Source organism: Homo sapiens, chromosome 7, assembly GCF_000001405.40.
Source record: "Homo sapiens chromosome 7, GRCh38.p14 Primary Assembly".
NCBI lineage: Eukaryota > Metazoa > Chordata > Mammalia > Primates > Hominidae > Homo > Homo sapiens.
This window is the reverse complement of record NC_000007.14, coordinates 151,585,773-151,608,018: the sequence shown is the minus strand read 5'-3', so window position 1 is coordinate 151,608,018 and position 22,246 is coordinate 151,585,773. Positions and strand designations below refer to the sequence as shown.

Below are 22,246 nucleotides of genomic sequence, written 5' to 3'. Positions count from 1 at the left end.
AGGACACTTGTCATTGGATTTAGGGCCCACCCTAATCCGGGATAACCTCATCTCCAGATCCTCACCTTAGTTACATCTGCAGAGACCCTTATTGCAAATAAGGTCTCATTCTGATGTTTCCAGTGGACCTGTCTTTTTGCGGAGGCCACTGTTCAGCCCACTGCAGAAAGGCAAGCAGGATGTCAGGTGACCATAGGAGAACAGGGAAGGCACTGTTGAGGAAGAAAGAATAGTGTGTGCAGAGGCACAGAACAGAAGCATGAGGAACGCATTCTCAAAACTGGATTTCCCAAAGTTCAAACCCTTCCTTTGAAAAGGATATGTTGAAATGATCCTAGAGATGAGATTCCTAGGGGATGTGATAGGAGATGAGGCTGGAAAGGTAGGTTAGAGTTCGAGTTCTAGAACCTTGAATGATACAGGGTATATTGTGTAGGTAGGGAGGACACGAGCAGCCAGGCACAGTGACTCATGCTTATAACCACAGTGCTTTGGAAGGCTGAGGCTTGAGGCCAAAAGTGCAAGACCAGCCTGGTCAACATAGTGAGACCCCATCACTACAAAAAAAAAAATACAGAATAAAAAAGTTAGCCAGATGTAATGGCAGGCATCTGTAGTCTCAGCTGCTAGGATTGCTTGAGCCTGAGAGTTCAAGGCTGCAGTGAGCCATGATCGCACCACTGCAGTCCATCCTGGGTGGCAGAGTGAGACCCTGTCTCAAAAAAACAAACAAAGGTACCAAACAAGCATATTATGTAATCAGATTTGTTTTTAATAGGAGAAATACTTCCAATATTTCAATTTAGTGTTTATAATTGCTTGCATTTAAACTTAGATGTTGCATTTGTAAAAGTTTGTTATTAACCTTTATGAATTAAACACTTTAATATAAACTTGCTACTTACTCATATTCTTCTTTAGCAACTCCCTTGCATAATAATGTTGGGTTGGCATCTGTTTAAAGAGTAGTGAGATTTAACATCAGTCTGCAAACAGGTTTCTTCCTTTTGTAGAGCAGTAACTCAAGTCCCAGTGTGATACTCTGTAATTATGCTTCTATCCTATAACACTGAAAATATCAAAAGCAAGAAGGGAGCATTGTGTTAATATCTTAACCTCAGTTAGCTTTTGAATATGGAGTTGGAACTTCTTGCCCTCTCAGGAATTTTGATAATTTATTTTATTTTATTTATTTTTTTGAGACGGAGTCTTGCTCTGTTGCACAGACTGGAGTGCAGTGGTAGGATCTCGGCTCACTGCAGCCTCCACCTCCCGGGTTCCAGCCGTTCCTCTACCTCAGCCTCCCAGGTAGCTGGGATTACAGGCACATGTCACCACGCCCGGCTGATTTTTGTATTTTTCATAGAGATGGGGATTCACCATGTTGCCCAGGCTGGTCTCGAATTCCTGACCTCAGGTGATCCACCCAGCTCAGCCTCCCAAAATGCTGGGATTACAGGCGTGAGCCACCGCACGCGGCCAAGGAATTTTGATAATATATTTTAAACAGCCTGTTGTTGAACAATTTGGGTGGGTTTTGTTGTTGTTGTTGTATAACTCCAAATTACACTCATTTTCACTCTGTTTCAATTTATTTCTTCCTCCAAGTACAATGTGAGACTTCACCATAATGTAACTAACACAGATGGTGCCACCTATAATCGTAAAGTTTATACTAAAAGTAGAAAAGCGACATTAAAAAGGAACGTTTTATATTTTACTGTATTTTCCTAGCTTAAAAAGCTTATACTTTTGTTGTGATTGATGTTGTTTTATTACATCAGTAATAATCTGTCCTTATTCCCACTCAACAGAAATTTTATTATAATTTGTAGGTGGCTCACGCCTGTAATCCCAGAAGTTTGGGAAGCCAAGGCAGGTGGATCACTTGAGCCTGGGAGTTTGAGACCAGCTTGGGCAACATAGTAAGACCTCATCTCTATTTAAAATTAATTATTATTTTTCTTTTTTTGAGGCAGAGTACCATTCTGTTCCCCAGGCTGGAGTGTAGTAGCACAATCTCAGCTCACTGCAACCTCCATGTCCTGGGTTGAAGCAATTCTTTTTTTTTTTTTTTTTTTTGAGACGGAGTCTCGCTCTGTCGCCAGGCTGGAGTGCAGTGGCACAATCTCAGTTCACTGCAACCTCCGCCTCCAGGGTTCAAGCGATTCTTCTGCCTCAGCCTCCTGTGTGGCTGGGATTACAGGTGCGTGCTATCATGCCAGGCTAATTTTTCTATTTTTAGTAGAGACAGGGTTTCACCATGTTGGCTAGGATGGTCTCGATCTCATGACCTTGTGATCCACCCACCTCGGCCTCCCAAAGTGCTGGGATTACAGGTGTGAGCCACTGCACCTGGCCTGAAGCAATTCTTGTGCCTCAGCCTGCCAAGTAGCTGGGATTACAGGCATGCACCACTATGCACAGCTAATTTTTGTATTTTTAGTAGAGACGGGGTTTCGCCATGTTGCCCAGGATAGTCTCAAACTCCTGGCCTCTCAAGCAATCCACCCGCCTTGGCCTCCCAAAGTGCTGGGATTACAGGCGTGAGCCACTGCACCCAGCCATAAAATTTAATTTAAAAAAATTTTTTAAAGAAATTTTATTATAAATTTTATTTTTGTTTTTAAAATTATTTTTAACTGGTTTTACACATTCAAAGAGGGTTTATTATAATTTATTTTAAATATTTAACCTTTTACGGCTGGGTGTGATGGCTCACACCTGTAATCCCAGCACTTTGGGAGGCTCAGGCAGGCAGATCACTTGAGGTCAGGAGTTTGAGACCAGCCTGGCCAACATGGTGAAACCCCGTCTCTACTAAAAATACAAGGATTAGCCAGGCTTGTTTTCCCACACCTATAATCCAAGCTACTCAGGAGGCTGAGGAACAAGAATTGCTTGAACCCTGGAGGTGGAGGTTGCGATGAGTTGAGATTGTGCCACTGCACTCCAGCCTGGGTGACAGAGCGAGACCCTGTCTCCAAAATAAATAAATAAGTAAATATTTAACATGTTACTTTGTTTGGTCGAGTGCTTTATATTTTTAAAAAATGTCGTAGATCCTCCCCCAAACCTGGAACCCAGTTACAGAGGTTCTAATCTTGAGAAAAGCATGAGACCTCTTCCAGCCAATGGGCATCCTCCAAAGTGCCTCATCAGAACTTCAAAGCTTCCAAGGCCATCACAACAAGGAGGGTCTGAGAAACTGTCGCAGCCAGGAGGAGCCCGAGGAGATGCTCCCGACCATCATGTGGAATCCTGGACGGGATCGTGAGACAGACACAGGGCATTAAGGAAAAAATAAGGAAATCTGAATAATGTGGAGACTTTTGTTAATACATTGTTGGGGTGTGTGTGTATGTGTGTGTGTATGTGTGTGTGACAGAGTCTTGCTCTGTCACCCAGGCTGGAGGGCAGTAGCACAATCACAGCTCACTGCAGCCTCAACCTCCTGGCTCAAGAGACCCTCCCACCTCAGCCTCCTGAGTAGGCTGGGGCCATAGGTGTGCACCACCACACCTGGCTAATTTTTTTTATGTTTTGTAGAAACGGGATCTCACTATGTTGCCCAGGCTGGTCTCAAACTCCTAGCCTCCAGGGCTCCTCCTGCCTCGGCCTCCCAAAGTGCTGGAATTACAGGTGGGAGCCACTGTACCTAGACACATTCATTATGATTTTCTTGGCTGCTTAACTATAACCGCTGCACCATGCTAATGCAAGATGTTGATGATGGGGAAACACATTTCCAGCTGCCCTGGAGGCTGTGTGCATGCAGGACAGAGGCAGGAGAGCCCAGCTCTGCACACCTCCCTGGATGACGGAGGAAGCCCACGCAGGGAGCACCAAGCCACACTCCCACAGCTCCCCAGCCAACTAGGGGGCTGCCTGTGTGTGAAGGCAGTGCTGGAGGACCTGCCAGAAAGTCTAAGCCATGGCAGGCTTGGAAACTGTCTTAACTAGGAGAGGGCTCCACAAGCCACCCACCAGTCCATCAGCCACAGGTGGGTGCCTGACTGGCTGGGGCACAGCCTCTGACCGCTCCTAACCTAGGATTGGATTATACCTAGGTTGAAGTAAATATCCATGAGTCTACACTGATATGAATAAATGATCAGATAAATAAATAACTCTCCTGTACATAATTATTTTAAACAAGGAGGTAGGGCATAACTCCTTGCCATTAAGTGAGGGGTCCTAGTGACCTTCTTAAAAAGATTACAGTACATAAAGGAGGAGGGAAAGAGTACCTCTACTTGGAGAAACCTGACAAATATGACTTCACTCAGGTGATTAAGGTGATGAGTCACGTTGATTTTAGGCACCCTGGATAGGATGGGATGAGAAGGCATGTGTACCCTCAGTATGATGATGAGGACGGAGCGGGTCCCTCCGTGTGCGGTGAGGACGGAGCGTGTCCCTCCGTGTGCGGTGAGGACGGAGCGTGTCCCTCCGTGTGCGGTGAGGACGGAGCGGGTGCCTCCGTGTGCGGTGAGGACGGAGCGTGTCCCTCCGTGTGCGGTGAGGACGGAGCGGGTGCCTCCGTGTGCGGTGAGGACGGAGCGTGTCCCTCCGTGTGCGGTGAGGATGGAGCGTGTCCCTCCGTGTGCGGTGAGGACGGAGCGTGTCCCTCCGTGTGCGGTGAGGACGGAGCGGGTGCCTCCGTGTGCGGTGAGGACGGAGCGTGTCCCTCCGTGTGCGGTGAGGACGGAGCGTGTCCCTCCGTGTGCGGTGAGGACGGAGCGTGTCCCTCCGTGTGCGGTGAGGACGGAGCGTGTCCCTCCGTGTGCGGTGAGGACGGAGCGTGTCCCTCCGTGTGCGGTGAGGACGGAGCGTGTCCCTCCGTGTGCGGTGAGGACGGAGCGTGTCCCTCCGTGTGCGGTGAGTATGGAGCGTGTGCCTCCGTGTGTGGTGAGTATGGAGCGGGTGCCTCCGTGTGATGATGAGAATGAAACTGTGTAACCCAAAGACTGAGAAAAACCGTGTGTTCTCACACTGCTTTAAATAGGCTACCTGAGACTGGGTGGGTAATTTATAAAGGAAAGCGGTTTAATTGACTCACAGTTCTGCATGGCTGGAGGGGCCTCAGGAAACTTACAATCATGGCTGAACGGGAAGAGGCACGTCTTTCGTGGTAGCAGGCAACAGAGAGAGCGAGGGCAGAGAAAACTGCCTTATAAAACTCTCAGATCTCCTGAAAACTCAGGCACTATCACAAGAACAGCATGGAGGAAACTGCCCCCATGATCCAATCACCTCCCAGCAGGTCCTGCCCTTGGCACGTGGGGATTATGGGAACTACAATTCAAGATGAGATTTGGGTGGGGACACGAAGCCAAACCATATCAATAACGTAAGATGATAAACTTGGGGGAACCTGATATGGAGTATATAGGAACTGTTCCAGCTTTGCAACTTTTTTGTAAATCTGGAACATATATTTATTCAAAATACAATGTTCATTGAAATAATTTAGAAATCAACACATTAAAATGGTATATTAAAAATATAATCTAACACCAAACTTACAGATTTTCAAAAATTCTGTAAGTTTGAACATTCCTGCCCTATATTATTTTCAATTATTTCACATATTCATATAGTAATACTAACATGTATAATATGTCTATAATATGTGTACCTCTTTTATGAAAATTCTTGATTTAATGAATGAACAAAATTATCTTCTGAGATTTCCTTTCTGGGAGATGGTTTGTTACATTTTACTATACTTAGCCTCCCTCTTGATTTCTTGCTTTTGAATTTTAGGATGTTAGATTTGGCAGGCAATTTGTAACTTAAATACTGGCTGAATGTATGCTTGACTGCCCTGATCTTTGGCTTTTGTTTTGCGCCAATTCCACACTCAGTAGGCATGAGGAGACTGCGCATGCGGCTGCGCGAGGAGCGTCATCCTTAGCAGCGATGGCGGACACGGACCAGATCTCTCTGTGCCGCTCTCATGAGAGCTTGCTGTTTCAGGCCTTTCTTAAGCAGGGCCCTCACTGTCTAGTCTATCAGTGTTTTGAGAAACATGGGAGCACACCAACTGAAACTTCATCTGTCCATCCGTTCCCTCCCTGACAGCCGCTGCTATTCATTCACGAACCCCGAGCTTGTCCTTGGTAGTGCTGGTGGCAGTGTGATGACAGTCACTGTCCCCTCCATTGGTTTGCAGTGTCTGTAAGGACAAGGGTTGTGTTTGTTGTCTTCCCTGCGGCATCCCCGCCTCTCGCACAGTGGATGCTGCGGGTGCCTCACCAGAATCCTGTCTCATCCAAGTTCTCATATTTCAACATCTCTGCCCCAGGACATTCTTTGGCAACTGGGCTTGTGGGTAGAAATGACGGGGGTGATGTCCCAGGAATTACCTGGAACCCAGGCAGGGCAGGAGTGGTCCTCCCACGAGACAGTTCTGAGGTCTGTACAGCCTCAGAGCATCCTCCCTCATAGCTTCACTCCAGGGTCACGAAGGTATAACCTGCTTACTGGGCACCCTTTCTTTTGAATTTTTCCTCCCCTAACTTTCCATGGTCTCAGGATCAGCTTTGGGAGGAATGCACACTAGACAATATGCAATAAATATTTATAGACTGAATTAATGTATGGATTACTTGAGTAAGATACTGATCATTCAAATAAATTATCACCCAGGAAGGAAAAAAATATTAGAAATACACAGTCACTGTTAACGAGATAGAAGGTAATAACTGATGAGACAGAAGTAAAATGCTGTTGGCGTTCAGGGGAAGAAGTCATTTTAGATTTCCTTACCCTTTCCAGGTCAGGGTTGGTGACCCACCTGTGTGTTCTCAGGTGATCCAGTGCTCACCCTGGGCTGATGCATAAGCTTTGAGGGTGGATAACCGGTCATTGTGTCCCCCTGTGGGTAACCCCAGGACAGGGCCCAGGACACAGGGGTCCTCCCCAGGTGCGCTCAGATGAGCGCACCGTTGAGTGAGGGAAGTGAGTTTAATAAGGAGCTACTGGAGCCTGGGACAGAGCTTCAAATCCCGCTTGGGTCACTACTTCACCGTCTGATTTGGGGCAAGTGACGCAGCTTCTCCTAGCCTCGGTTTCCTCAGAGGTAAAATGAAAAAATGAAGCTGTATTCCTCGAGGTTGTCACATCAGTTAAGTGAGGTGATTTATTGCAGTACCTGGTCCGTAATGAGCACTCAGACGTTCACTTCTTTTGTGGGAAAAGATGTCCGTTGAGGTTGGATTGAAATTGAACAAGGAAAAGTCAAGGAGGAGGACGTTTAAGGCAAGTGAGTGAACAAGGGCAAGAAGGGAGAGGTCAAAGGCTACAGGAGACTGACAGGGAGACCGTTTGCTTAGACATGAAACCAGGAGCTGGGAAATAAGGCTGCGGAGAAGCCAGATGTGGAGATGCATGAATGAGACAGGAGACGTCTGGAATTTATTCCACATCAGGAGGGAGACATTTGAGAGAGAAATATCCAGGAGGCAGTTGCAGTGACAAAACTCTGCATTATAAATTGTAATATCCCAAAGAGAGGTCAGAATGAAAATAGACTTGAGAGTGGTCCACATCATTTGTCATGAAATTGGCAAACCAGCTGCATGGATGTCCACAGTAGGAAATATACAAAATTGTGGGGCTCCTTTCCACAGCCAAAGAGCTTGGTTAGTATCACTTGTTTAACACTTGTTTTGCTAATTAGCTTATACACTACATGTTTTTCTTCTCAGATATTTCCCAAGTAGTCCAGATCTTCCTAAAATGCACAGATCGGTGTGGGCTGAATGGAGCTGTCAAGGATGTCTCTTGCAGATGGCATAATTTGGACTGACCCATGAAAATAGGGAAGGATTTCGGCAGAACGGGGAAAGCAGTTGTGGCGGGCCGAGGGAAGGAGGGGGATCAGCTTGGCTGAGAACACAGCTTTGGAATCCAGAGGCTTCAAGTTCAAATTCAGGTTCCATGACTCACCAGTCATATCCTTGAGCCAAGGTCTAATGAAGGAGTTCACTGGGCCACAAACAGACGGAGAAAGTATTTCAGGCAGAGGAAGCAGTAGTGTCAGGCCCCATGGAAGAGACAGCAGAGCACTGATGGAGGACTGGAAAAAAATAGGGGGTTGGAGAAAATACGGAGCAGGAGTGTTTAATACAAGAGGCAGGGAGGTAGGCGGGGGCCAGGCCTCCCAGGTCTTATAGGTCAGGGGTCCCCAATCCTGGGGCCATGAACCAGTACAGTTCCCTGGCCTGTTAGGAAATGGGCTGCACAGCAGGAGGCAAGGGGCGGGTGAGCCAGCATTATGGCCTGAGCTGTGCATCCTCTCAGATTAGGGACAGCTTTAGTGTCTCATAGGAGTCCAAACCCGATGGTGAACTGTGCCCACGAGGGATCTAGGTTGTGTGCTCCTGATGAGAATCTGGTGCCTGATGATCTGAGGTGGAACAGTTTCATCCTGAAACCACCCACTACCACCCCCAGTGGAAAAATTGTCTTCCACAAAACCAGTCCTAGGGACTGCTGTTCTAGGTGACTTCAAGGGTTTTGCCTTTATTCTAAAGCATCTGGATTAGATTATATTTGCATCTGGCAAAATCTTCCTGGATGCAGTGTGGACAGCTGTGGAAGATGCAGGGGGCAGAAGGATTGGTGAGGAAGTTAGGATATGTAGGGGGTGGCCATGGAGGCAGAGAAATGAGTGGATTTGAGGGTTCTGGGGTGCAAAATCAAGGCATTGTGATAAATTGGTTAGGGTGACAAGAGGACATTGGCAAGGGTGACTCCTAGATTTCCATGATTGGTTGGACGGTGTTGCCTTTTCCTTATCAGTGTGCTATCAACCCCACAATACATTGTCATTATTTTTGTTTAAATTGTCAGTTAGGGCTGGGCACAGTGGCTCACACCTGTAATCCCAGCACTTTGGGAGGCCGAGCCATGCAAGATCACCTGAGGTCAGGAGTTCAAGACCAGCCTGGCCAACATGGTGAAACCCCGTCTCTACTAAAAATACAAATATTAGCCAGGTGTGATGGTGTGCACCTGTAATCCCAGCTACTCGGGAGGCTGAGGCAGGAGAATCTCTTGAACCTTGGAGGCAGAGGTTGCAGTGAGCCAAGATCTAGCCACTGCACTCCAGCCTGGGCAACAAGAGCTAAACTCTGTCTCAAAAAAAAAAAATACATAAAAAAATAAATTGTCAATTAGCTTTTAGAGAGATTTAAATAATTTTTGAAAGCATTTGTATATTTGTCCACATTGTTACCATTTTCAGTGCTCTCTGTTCCCTGTGTAAGTCCGTATTTCCATACAGCATTTATGTAAATAGTACCTTTAAAATTTTTTTAAATTTCTGTCTGCTAACAATGAGTTAGTAGATACAAATATAGTAGCCTTTTTTTTCTATTTGCATTTGCTTTATTGTACTTTTTTCCTTTTTTTAAGTTTTATTTTTGGTTGACACATAATTGTACATATTTATGGGATACAGTTTGATGTTTTAGTACATGTATATATTGTGTACTGATAAAATCAGGATAATTAGTATATCTGTCACCTAAAACACGTATCATTTCTTTATGGCAGGAACATTCAAAATCCTCCCTTCTAGCTATTTTGAACTATACAATACGTTATTGTTAACTATAGTCACCCCACTGTGCAATAGAACACCAGAATGCATTCCTCCTGTCTGACTGTAACTGACCAACCTCTCCTCATACCCCCACCCCATTCCCTCCCCAGCCTCTGGTAACCACTCTCTACTTTCTACTCCTGTGAGATCAGCTTGTTTAGATTCCACAGATGAATGGGATGGTATTTGTCTTTCCACGCCTGGCTTATTTCATGTAACACAGTGTCCTCTAGGTTCATCCTGTGCTCACAGATGTCAGGATTTCATTCTTTTTTATGGTTGAATAGTACTCCATTGTTTATAGGTACCACGTTTCTTTATCCATTCATCTTTTGGCGACACTTAGGTGGATTCCATGTCTTGGCTGTTGTGAATAGTGCTGCACTCAACATGGCAGTGCACATGTGTCATGAACACTCTGATTTCATTTCCTTTGGGTATATACCCGGTAGTGGGATTGCTGGATCATAGGGTAATTCTATTTTTAATTTTTTGAGGAACCTCTGTACTGTTTTCTATAATGGCTCTACTAATTTATATTTCATTCCCACCAATAGTTCAATAAAAGAGCGGGGGGGGGGGCTCCCTTTTGTCCACATCCTCAGCAACACTCATCTTTTGTTTTGTTTTGTTTTGTTTATAATAGCCATTCTAACTGGAGTGAGGTGATATCTCATTGTGGTTTTGATTTGCATTTCTCCAGTGACTAGCGATGGTGGACATTTTTTCATATACCTGTTGGCCATTTGTATGTCTTCTTTGAGAAATGTGTATTCAGTTCTTTTGCCCATTTTTTAATCAGATTATTTGGGGTTTTTTTCCTGCTGTTGAGTTGTTTGAGTTCCTAATCTGTTTTGGATATTAACCCTTTATCAGATGTATAGTTTGCAAATATTTTCTCTCATTCTGTAGGTTGTCTCTTCACTCTGTTGATTATTTCCTTTGCAGGATAGAAGCTTTTTAGTTTGATATAATCCCATTTGTCCATTTTTGCTTTTGTTCCATGTGCTTTTGAGGCTTTATCCATAAAATATTTGCCCAGACCAAAGTCATGAAGCATTTCCCCTATGTTTTCTTCTAGTAGTTTCGTAGTTTGGGTCGTAGATTTTCAGTCTCTAATCTATTTTCCATTGATTTTTGTATCTGATGAGAGATAGGAGTCCAGCTTCATTTTTCTGCATGTGGATATCTAGGTTTTCCAGCACCATTTATGGAAGAGACCACCCTTTGCCCGGTGTGTATTCTTGGAACCTTTGTCAAAAATCATTTGGCTGTAATGTGTGGATTTATTTCTGGGCTTTCTAATTCTCTTTGTCTGTGTGTCTGTTTTTATGCCAGCTTCATGCTGTTTTGGTTATTATAGCTTTGTAGTACATTTTGAAGTCAGGTAGTGTGATATCTTCAGCTTTGTTCTTTTTGCTCAAAATTCTTTTGGCTATTTGGGGTCCTTTGTGGTTCTATACAAATGTTAGGATTTTTTTTTTCTTGTCCTGCGAAGAATTGGTATTTTGATAGGCATTGCATTGAATCTGTAGATCACAGTGGATAGTGTGGTCATTTTAACAATATTCTTCCAATCCATGAACACAAGATATCTTCCCTTTTATTTGTATCTTCTTCAATTCTTCCTCTTTTTTTTTATTTTTATTTATTTTTTTGACAGTCTCACTTTGTAACCAAAGCTGGAGTGCAGTGCCGCAATCTCAGCCCACTACAACCTCCGCCTCCCAGGTTCAAGCAATTCTCGTGCCTCAGCCTCCTGAGAAGCTGGGATTACAGGCCTGTGCCACCATGCCCAGCTAATTTTTGTATTTTTAGTAGAGACGGGGTTTCTCCATATTGGCCAGGCTGGTCTCAAACTCCTGACCTCAGGTGATCTGCCTGCCTCAGCCTCCCAAAGTGCTAGGATTACAGGCGCGTGCTACCACACCTGGTCTGCTTCAATTCTTTCATCAGTGTTTTATAGTTTTCACTCTAGAGGTCTTTCACCTCCTGAGTTAAATTAATTCCTGAGTATTTTGTTTTTTTGTAGCTATTGTAAATGGGATTCTTTTATTATTTCTATTTCGGATAGTTGTCTATTAGTGTATAGAAATGCTACTGATTTTTTATGTTGAGTTTATATCTTGTAACTTTACTGAATTTATTAGTTTTGACAGTTTCTTGATGGAGTCATTAGGGTTTTCCATATATAAGATTATGTCATCTGCAAACAGGGACAATTTAACTTCCTTGTTTCCATATTTGGATGCCTTTTATTTCTTTGTCTTGCCTGACTGCTCTGACAAGGACTTCCAGTACTACCTTGAACAGAGTAGCAACAGCAGGCATTCTTGTCTTGTTCCTGGTCTTTTTTTTCCCCTTTATTTTTATTTTTATTTTATTTTATTAGTTTTGTAGAAACTGGGTCTTGCTATGCCACCCAGGCTGGTCTCGAACTCCTGGGCTCAAGTGACCCTTCCACCTCAGCCTCCCAGAGTTCTGGGATTACAGGTGTGAGCCAATGCACCTGGCCTTGTTCCAGATCTTGAAGGGAAAGCTTCCAACTTTTCCCCATTCGATTAGCTTTGTCTTTGTTTTATTAACCCTGATTTAATTCTATGACCCTGCTAAACTCATTCTTTTTAGATCTAGGAACTTTTTCTAGATTCTTTGGTATTTCCTATGTAGAAAATCATACAGTGTGCACATAAAGACAGTTTTGCTTTTTCCTTTTCAACATGTATGCCTTTCATTTTTTTCTCTTGCCTTATTTCACCATCTGGGACCTCCAATATAGTGTTCATAGAATTAGTGAGAGTGAGCATCCTTGCCTGGCCCTTGATCATACTGGGAAAACATTTCGTATTTTACCATTAAGTCTGTTAGTGATAGGTTTACGTATATGCTCTTCATCCGATTGAGGGAATTCTTTATTATTACTGATGTTTTGCCTTTTTTTCTTTTAGCAGTAGAAGACTCAGAAAGTGGTGTTTACATGCGATTCATGAGGTCACACAAGTGTTATGACATCGTTCCAACCAGTTCAAAGCTTGTTGTCTTTGATACTACATTACAAGTAAGTGTACTCCATTTTCATGAATTTTTTGGTATTTTTTGGATGGCTACTACTTTATACAGTAATTTAAAACCAGCAATGCCAGCAAACGTTTATTGAGTCCTTTGCACTATCGGGCACTGTGCTGAGGTTTTATCTGAATTCTCAACATCTTGGCAACCTTATAAGAAATGTGCTATTACTGTCTTCTTCCTAAAGACAGGGAAGCTCAAATTATAGAGTTTAAGAACTTAAGTCAGAAAGCTTTGGCCAGGTGCAGTGGCTCACGTCTGTAATCCCAGCACTTTGGGAGGCCGAGGCTGGCAGATTACCTGAGGTTGGGAGTTGGAGACCAGCCTGGCCAACGTGATGAAACACCATCTGTACTAAAAATACAAAATTAACCGGGTGTGGTGGTGCATGCCTGTAGTCCCAGCTACTCAGGACCCTGAGACAGGAGAGTCGCTTGAACCCAGGAGGCAGAGGTTGCAGTGAGCCGAGCTTGTGCCACTGCACTCCAGCTTGGCAACAGAGTGAGACTCCATCTCAAAAAAAAAAGAAAAAGAAAGCTTAGTCCACAAGTTGTTGTGGAATTTAAGGACCTAATCCACAGAGCTAGTACAAGATGGGGTTTTGAACACAGGCCTGTCTAATGTGTGTTAGAACCTAAGCTGTTCATTATTAAACTGTATGGCCTCGCTCAGTATATCCTCATGGTCTTTCTTAGTTATTTAGTAGAACATATGATAAATTTGAAATAATATTGGTAAAAAAGAAGAAAATCACAAAAATGGGCAATCTTTTGAAAGAAGAACCTTACCGATCTCTTTTCCCAGAAAATTTGAATCTTAACATTTTGGTATTAAAATTATGCGTATTGCAACTTACTTTATATCAATGTAACTTATAATCACATACAAAAAGTCCTAAATAATATACTCAATACCGTGATCAAACTACATTCAGTGTAATCAAATGGGTGTCTACACACATATCTGTGCGTATACATTTAGTGTATTGTTTCTACATAAATATTTTCCAAGTAGGATTGTCCTCAGTCGAGTTCCTCAGAAGTAAATGCTAAACCAAGAATTCATGGGTTTATGAAGGATGCACTCCCAGGAGGAAGCATGAAGGGATCAGAGGAAGAGCAGGGCAGGGGAAGACACCCAGCAAGGGCCCTGGAAGGGCTGCCTCAGCCTGAGCCTTCGGGAGCACCAGCTGAAAGGTGCCCTGGAGTGTATCCACCCCCTCCCATAGCCCTGCCTTAGATGATCCTTCCAGGCTCTTCCTGCTCCACCAGGCCCTTTAGACCTCCCCAGGGACCCCCAGGTGTGGCCTGCTTCTGTTCCCATGCCCCACACCTGCCGTGCGTCCTCAGAGGGCTCCCCGGGCTCTTGGAGCCCCTTACCTGTATTCTGTGCCTGCCACCCAGGACTTACAGGATGACCAAAAATGACTTTGCTTTTGTTTAATTTCATTTTCCAATTGTTTCTTGTTAACGTATGGAAATACAATTGATTTTTGCAAATTGGCTTTATGTTCTTTGCTGAGTTCACTTTGGACCAGGTAACCTTCAGAGTCACTTTTAAAACCCTAAGATTCTTGATTATTTGACACAAAGAAGGAAGCATCCAAATACAATCTTATAGTAGGGAAAACAGTAGGCAGTTGTTTTAAGAGATGCGGTCTCGAGAACTGTGACTACATGTTTCAATAACAAAATAATGAGAAGTTCTGAATTCCCAAAATAAAGGAACTACTGGCTCAACCTATTTCAGCCTCACGCCCATCCCCCAGAAGGTTTACTTTTTAAAATACCAGATTTTCTGACCACCGGCATTTCTACCAACTTAAAAATAAGCGACAGTAGGCCGGGCACAGTGGCTCAAACCTGTAATTCCAGCGCTTTGGGAGGCCAAGGCGGGCAGATCACTTGAGGTTAGGAGTTCAAGACCACCCTGGCCAACATGGTGAAACCCCGTCTCTGTTAAGAATACAAAAATTAAAATTAGCCGAGTGTGGTAGAAGTCACCTGTAGTCCCAGCTACTCGGGAGGCTGAGGCGGGAGGGTCGCTTCAACCCAGGAGGCGGAGGCTGCAGTGAGCCGAGATTGTGCCACTGCACTCCAGCCTGGATGACAGAGCAAGACTCCAACAAAGCAAGACTCTCAAAAAATAATAATAACAAGTAACAGCTGATTTGACTTTTACCCAGCTTTCCATGTATTACTCATTTTGGCTAAACCCTAGAGAAAGTCAAGTGAGTAATACATGAAAAATGCAATGCCTTATGGATGTCCAAGGTGACTGATCCAGTAAATATCACTTCCGTAATTAAGAGGAGCTGTGAGCATCATCTCCGGGAAGCCGTTTATCCTGTGAGCCTCTAAGTTGAGAGGAGCTGAGATGCATTACCATGGAAATAGGGGGAGAGAGTTGTTTGGCATTGGTTAAGTCAAGGTAAAAAGATGTATTTGAAAAGGGGTGATTTGAGTATTTTCTAGACACAGGCTGCAGTAATAGCCATTGACACACCCTCAAGAGCTAAGAAAGCAAACAAAATAGCCGCGTACCCAAAACAACCTAAGAGACCAGTTAAATAAATCCTCGCATAGGCATATAATAGAATACTGCATAATGGAGAAAATGTTTGTCAAGAGTATATTCATTGATTCATTGATTAGGAAAAGAAAAAGTAAGCTGCAGAACAGTACTCAAAATGACCACGTTACTCTGAGGATACGACGTCATCAGAGCCGTAACTGCTCTAGGGACCAAGGCGAGCCACTTGCAGGGAAGCTGAAAGAGTGTGCGCAGACAGGAGTAGAACAGAGCCAATGAGAGGAGAGCAGAATGCGAGGGTGTGCCACCAGAATGAGGGGGAAGAGCAGTCTCGGGCTTGGCTTTTCTGCTTCCATCTTCGGTCTCTTGAGAGGCCGACTGGACTCCCTGCAGTTGGGTTCCATGAGATTCCCCTCGGTTTAATACTGGAATCACCCTGGGGATCCATGTAGATATGTCCTGGCCATCTCAGTCCTGATAAAGTGGAAATCAAATGTCCAACTGGGAGGTCTGCCTGCTGGGGGATGTAATCCCCACTGTCCTCAAGAGCCACACTGTGCAGTGCCAGCAGGGGCCAGCCCAGCAGGAGAAGCACCTGTAAACCAAGCCCAGCTTTTTCTCCATCAGTCAGTGGCTCATAAGGAGCTCCCCCGAGTCTGGGTGTGGATCGAGGTAGGGGAGGCACCGGTGTCAGAGCAGCTGCATCATGTACCCATGCAGTGTCCATGTACTTCACAGGCCTGGGCGAGCCCCGTCTCGGCCTGGCGAGAGAGGGTCGCTGTGCATGCTCAGCATTCGGCTTGGGGGGCCTAGTAGTTCCCTGTTCGTGATGGGGAGCTCAGGTTGCATGGTCTCCGCATCTCGTGGCTAGCTTGTTTGGTCTCTATAAGGGCCTGGTGCAGTCGGCCAGGAACTGTTTCCCAGCGGGAGAGTCATTATCTGCAGGAGAAGGCATGGTTGTTTTGGGGTTAATCTTCCCTCAAAACCCTCAATGTCTGCTCTGTAAATTTCCTTTTGGTGGAGGCTTCCTACAGCACCCCTAATATCAACCTTGCTGGGTCCTAAGGCCACACAGAAGAGCAGCCTGGACTTGCCACATGCCTGATCGTGCCCTGGGCCTCTCTGAAAACAGCTTTTAGTGTCACTCAGTACCGGTGTCAGAGTAGCACGTACACATGTGGTGCATGTTGCCTCCAAAACACCTGCCTGGTGGTTGCAGTGGCAGGTGGAGTGTGGAGTGACAACTTGAAGCTCCCATTGGAGGGGTGTCTCCAGTGTTTCAGGCCGTTCTGGGGTGTGAGACCCCCGGTTCTGCGGGGTCTGTCCCTCATGCTCTGCCCGGCACATATCTCACAGAGGCACCTAGAGCTCTGCTACTTCCTGCCTGTCTAGTCCAGCCCACACCGCTATCAGCGCATGGGCCAGTGTGGCAGTGTGCAGTGTGAAGATGGCCAGCTTCTCTGCAGACCATAATAAGGTAGAGAGCGGGGGTGCCGCAGCCTTGAGACACACGGGTGAAAGTATCCTGTTGCCAGGTAAAGCAGACTCCGTCTAGGGGTCCTTGTAGATTGGTATAGAGAAAAGGAGTATGTGTCCAGGCAGGGGCTGTGGGTCCCCCAAGATACTACATTGGGAACAGCTGCTGCAGTGACAAGTTCACTTTTCCTATTGAAGGGGCCCCTCACCTGTACATTCCTCAGGGGCTCCAGGAGGGAGTGTCCTCTGGGTATGGAATGTGCAGGTGGCACATGACAAATCCGTGCCAATGCCCCTGTCTCCCGAAGCCTGTGGATTCCTCCTGTATAGTTCACTGTGCCACAGAAGCCTGGCATCTCAGCCTCATTAAACACGGACTCAGCAGTGCCCTGCACTTCAGGCAGTCAACCAAGTGAGCGGTTAGAGCCACTGCCGGCTGCGTGCACAAAATGTTAATGAACAATTTCTCATAAGACCACTCATAGCAATCAGTCCCACCAAACTAGTGTTAAATTTCTCGTCTTTGTCCTAACGTTACTAGCACCTATTCCCATACATACTTCTTCGGTTTCTGCAGCTGTGAAATGGCAAGATCTCACAGTTTGTTTTGCATATAAGTGGTTTCCTCCCCTGCAGCATGCGGAAACCTGTCCCCAGTTACAGGTCAAGGGGTGGCAAGGGTGGGAGGGTGAGAGGCCCACGCTAGGCGTCTGCCCTAGGAAAGCCTGTCACTGGGCTTTCGAGTAAAGAAAGGTGATTCTCAGACACTGGGGAGCCAGCTGTTCCCACTGCCATGGGAGGCTCGGAGGAACTCCCGAATCTGGAATCTCAGCTTCATCTGAGTCCAGTCAGATGTCCCTCTGTCCGGTGCCAGGGTCCCACTCCTTCCAGATCCATGCCCAGCTTTCCCATCAAACCTGGTGATGCCACCAATTCCGCCTGTGCATCCACACCCCGCAGAGTTATGCTTTGTGTTTGATTTTGGAAACAGCCCTGTAGCTACAAGAAATAGACTCTCTGGGGACTGCCATAGAGGCTTGTTGGGTTCTCTGTCTGTGGGTGCAGGTCCCAGACCTGGGCTTGAGGTTTTCTCAGAGGCCCCAGCGCACTCACAGAATGCTGTCATACTGAGTCCTTTGGTCCTGGCTTCTGCCTCAGTGGCCAGTGCAGTGGCCATGTGGGCCCTGGCACACAAATGTCATCACAGGCACAGATGATGGCTTTTTTAGTCACAATGCCATGGCCTGCCCTGGATTACAGGAATCTGATTTCCCACTGACAAAGAGCTCAACACTGTGTTAAACCCATGGATGGGAAACCAATTCCAAGTCCTCTGTTCCTGGGAACCAGTCTTGGCAGTTTCTTTTTTCTTCTTCTTCTTCTTTTTTTTAAAGACAGGGTCTCATTCTGTCACCCAGGCTGAAGTGCAGTGGTACGATCTTGGCTCACTGCAACCTCTGCCTCCCAGGTTCAAGCAATTCTTGTGCCTCACCCACCTGAGTAGCTGGGATTACAGGCACCCACTACCACACCTGGCTAATTTTTTGTATTTTTAGTAGAGATGGGGTTTCACTTTGTTGGCCAGGCTGGCCTGAAACTCCTGGCCTCTTGACCTGCCCGCCTCAGCCTCCCAAAGTGCTGGGACTACAGGTGTGAGCCACCGTGCCCGGCCGTGGTGCCAGTTTCTTGATCAGTCAAGGTTCAGTCAGGAGACAGAAGCCACACCAGTTATTTGAACAGAAAAAGAACATAAGCAAATGTTAACTGGATCTAAATTAACTGGTAACTGAAAGGACAAATAAAGACCTCTAAGGCAGTGTTCTCAAAGTCTGATTCCCAGACTAGCAGCTTCAGCATCAGCTGGAACTTTTAAAAACGCAGCTCATCAGACCCAATCTGAGACCCGAATCCAAAACGGGGGGATGAGGCTCAGTGACCCATGTTTCACCATGATGCTGTGTGAGTCTGGTGTACTCCACAGTGTCGTGGAGGAGAGGGGGTCCTGGCGCGTGCCTTCTAGCTGGTGCTTATGTCTCTGGGTGGGAGTTGGGGCTTGAGGAAGCTCATTTTGCACAAAATGGGAAAACAACAAACTGTATTCAGCCGCTGCTACAGGAGGTGCCTCGGTGCCCAGGTAAGGCAGTGCCTGGGTGGAGCTCACGGGAGCTGCAGGCAGACAGGAGCCCTGCTAGCCGCTGACGGGAGGAGCAAGCCCTTCTTCCTGCTCTGGCTTTGAGTCCCTCCCTAGACTCCTGTATTGTCAGAACCTGAAATAGAGCCAGTTGGCAACACCGAAACAGGGTCTGCAAAGTCCCAGCATCACCAAGCCAAGTTAGAGGGATGGGCATGGAGCAGAGAGACAGTAACTTCATGACTGGCACAGTAGAGAGGGGGGACATCCCCTTCCCTTCCAGATAAGCCCAGGAATTCAGAGAAAGATAGGTATCAGTTAGTGTATTAGCCTGTTTTCATGCTGCCAATAAAGACATACCTGAGACTGGGTAATTTATAAAGGAAAAGAGATTTAATGGACTCACAGTTCCACGTGACTGGGGAGGCCTCACAATCATGGTGGAAGGCAAGGAGAAGCAAGTCATGTCTTATATGGATGGCGGCAAGCAGAGAGAGCTTGTGCAGGGGAACTCCTCTTTATAAAACCATCAGATCGCTGGGTGCGGTGTCTCACGCCTGTAATCCCAGCACTTTGGGAGGCCGAGGCAGGTGGATCACTTGAGGCCTGGATTTTGAGACCAGCCTGGCCAACATGGCGAAACCGTCCTCCTAAAATTACGAAAATTAGCTGGGCTTGGTGTTGGGTACCTGTGGTCCCAGCTATTTGGGAGGCTGAAGCAGGAGAATCGCTTGAACACAGAAGGCAGAGGTTACAGTGAGCCAAGATTGCACCACTTGCACACCAGCCTGGGCGACAGAGCAAGAATCTGTCTTAAAAAAAAAAAAAATCAGATCTTGTGAGACTTATTCACTATCATGAGAACAGCATGGGAAAGACTCCCCCCCATGATTCAGTTACCTCCCACTGGGTCCCTCCCATGACACGTGGGAATTATGGGAGCTTCAATTCAAGATGAGATTTGGGTGGGGACACAGCCAAACCACATCAGTTAGTGATTCCAAAAGATGACACCTCGAGAATTATGAGAGGCCCAAAAATAAATAAAACTTCATAATGGAATCCTCACACCCTAGGATTGGTGGGGGGAAGCATTAGGAATGATCCAGGCTTTTCCTCACAGTGGCAATGTAACTTCTTTTAGCAATACTCTACAAATGATAGCTTTTTTTTTTAACAAGTGTTTTATAAGAGTTTTAGATGTACAGAAACATGGCAAAGCTAGTGCAGAGAATTTACATATACCCCACACCCAGTTGAATTTTGACATCTTGCGTTAGTGTGGTCTATATTTGTCCCAGTTAATGAACCAATATTGATACATGGTTATTTGCTAAAGTCCATGCTTTCTTCAGATTTCCTTAGTTTTTGCATAATGCCGTTTTCTGTTGGAGGATCCCATCTAGGTTACCCCATCACGTCTCGTCATCATGCCTCCTTAGGTGGGACAGCTTCTCAGACAGGTACTCCCTGTGTTTGACACCTTGACGGTTTTGAGGAGTGTTGGTCAGGTATTTTCCAGAATGCCCTCTACTGAGATTTGCATGATGATTTATCATGATTAGACTGGGCATGTGGCTTTGGAGGAGAAAGACCAGAGAGAGGTAAAGTGCCCTTTTCATCATACCGTCTCCAGGGTGCTTACTGCCTGTGTGACTTACCACTCTCCATTACCTGGCTGAGGTGTGCCAGGTTTTTCCACCATGAGATGATTCTTCTTCCTCCTTTCCATGCCATAGTCCCAAGAAGGAAGTCACCACGTACAGCCCACACTTAGCCATGGGGAGTGACGCTTCACCTCCGTGAGGGCTGAGCAGCTACGTGAGTTAGTTGGGATTTTTCTGCAAGGGAGATTTGTCCCTTCTCCATCTGTTTGTTTATTCAGTCATCTATTTCAGTATGGATTTATGGATATTTATTTTTGGGTTATAATCCAGAACAACTTCATTTTGTTCTTTACATTATTCCAGGCAATGTGATTTTGAATAATGCCAACAAAAAAACAAGCAAGTATCCAAATAAGTGGCTGTTTGCCAAGCACTATTTTTTCTTTTGAGGCAGAGTCTCGCTCTGTCGCCCAGGCTGGAGTTCAGTGGCGCAATCTCGGCTCACTTGAAGCGATTCTCCCACCTCAGCCTCCCGAGAAGCTAGGATTACAGGCGGGCAACAACACGCCTAGCTAACTTTTGTATTTTTAGTAAAGGCTTGGTTTCACCGTGTTGGCCAGTCTGGTCTCGAACTCCTGACCTCAAGTGATCCACCCACCTTGAAGAATGAGTAGAGAATACAGAATGCAGAGCACATGATCAAAAGTAAAGTAAAAGGAAAGCTTGAATAGGAGGGAGCTGCCCAGGACAATCCTAGTTTAGTGTTAAAATTAAGAGGCACAAAGGGAAGGGGCGCTTGATTATTTTAAAAGCAGGAAGGAAAGAGAAGCCCCGGTCCTATTGTTCCAGGCTGATGCTGCTGATGTCAATAAAGAGAAAACAGAACTGCTCAGCTCAAACTGTACTTTGTTCATTATCAAGGAAAATGATCTTCAAAGTGGAAGAGGTAAAGTAATAGTGATTCGAGGAAACTAAAGCCCACAATAGTTGCGGAGAGCACCTGTCAGCATGAACCACATCTCATTTCTGATCCAGATGAATCACATTCTAGCATTAAAGGGAACTTACAAAGGAGATTCCTAACCTGTTCGTGATATTGGAGGAGTTGCGGAGAAGAGGTCTGATTTCGGAGGCCAGAGATAAAAGGAAAGAGCAGATAGATTTCTCAAAAAGCAGAGGCTGGGGAATGTAGTATCAATCCCAGCTGAGATTTATGAATGAATGGAATCGGTCATGAATTGACCAAAAAAAAAATTTACAGGAGATTCACCTGCCTTTCTTTTGTGGCTGTTGCGTAGACGGCCGTGCCATGACAGGCACGTCTGGATTCCAGCTAGAGTAGGCTGGCAGAGCCTGGCACGAGGTCCCAGAGGATGAGATGCAGAGCTGCAGCTTGGCAGCCAAGCAGATCAATTAATATTTAAATCTCAGTCAACACCTGGAGCAAGGTTTCTAATTGTGTTGGATGCCTCTCGTGGGCCATTTCCAAATCCATTCACATCAACTCATAGTCCAGCACTCCTCACTCTGTGCAGGGGCAGTGGGACGGCCCTCAGCCCAGGACCATCCCATGTACCCCAGCTTCCTCCGCCAGGGGAGGATAGAAGCTAGCAGCTACATGCAGTCCTAGGAAGATCCCACTGGCATCAGCATCAGTGGGCTCTGCGGCGGCAGCTCAGGAACGCGTCCTGCGCTGACTCACCCGCCCACCCGTCTCCTTCCTCCCTTCCTGTACTTCTGCTCCCTGGCATCACATTCCCAAATACACTCTGCCTTCTGGGGAGCCCCAGCTGAGAAACTGGGGGTACGCCAGAG

General features: G+C 45.9%; 1 protein-coding gene across 33 annotated transcripts in view, besides 2 other annotated features; it reads left to right on the top strand.

The window, feature by feature from the left end:
• Positions 1–22,246, top strand: part of PRKAG2 (protein kinase AMP-activated non-catalytic subunit gamma 2) — a 320,989-nt gene that overhangs the window by 269,097 nt on the left and 29,646 nt on the right. For 19 of the 33 annotated variants that reach the window (NM_001407030.1, NM_016203.4, NM_001407021.1 and 16 more), the window contains one exon: positions 12,565–12,674. In NM_001407030.1, the coding sequence (NP_001393959.1) occupies positions 12,565–12,674 (110 nt within the window). The remainder of the gene's footprint in view (positions 1–12,564; positions 12,675–22,246) is intronic. The other 14 variants (NM_001407031.1, NM_001407023.1, NM_001407022.1 and 11 more) reach the window with 1 other exon arrangement.
• Positions 4,128–4,680: an enhancer, noted in NCBI's record as "OCT4-H3K27ac-H3K4me1 hESC enhancer chr7:151300425-151300977 (GRCh37/hg19 assembly coordinates)". NCBI's record gives its function as "activates a minimal SCP1, AML or CMV promoter by ChIP-STARR-seq in naive H9 embryonic stem cells {active_cell/tissue: H9 hESC(naive)}" and the evidence as "EXISTENCE:reporter gene assay evidence [ECO:0000049][PMID:30033119]".
• Positions 15,424–15,924: an enhancer, noted in NCBI's record as "H3K4me1 hESC enhancer chr7:151289181-151289681 (GRCh37/hg19 assembly coordinates)". NCBI's record gives its function as "activates a minimal SCP1, AML or CMV promoter by ChIP-STARR-seq in primed H9 embryonic stem cells {active_cell/tissue: H9 hESC(primed)}" and the evidence as "EXISTENCE:reporter gene assay evidence [ECO:0000049][PMID:30033119]".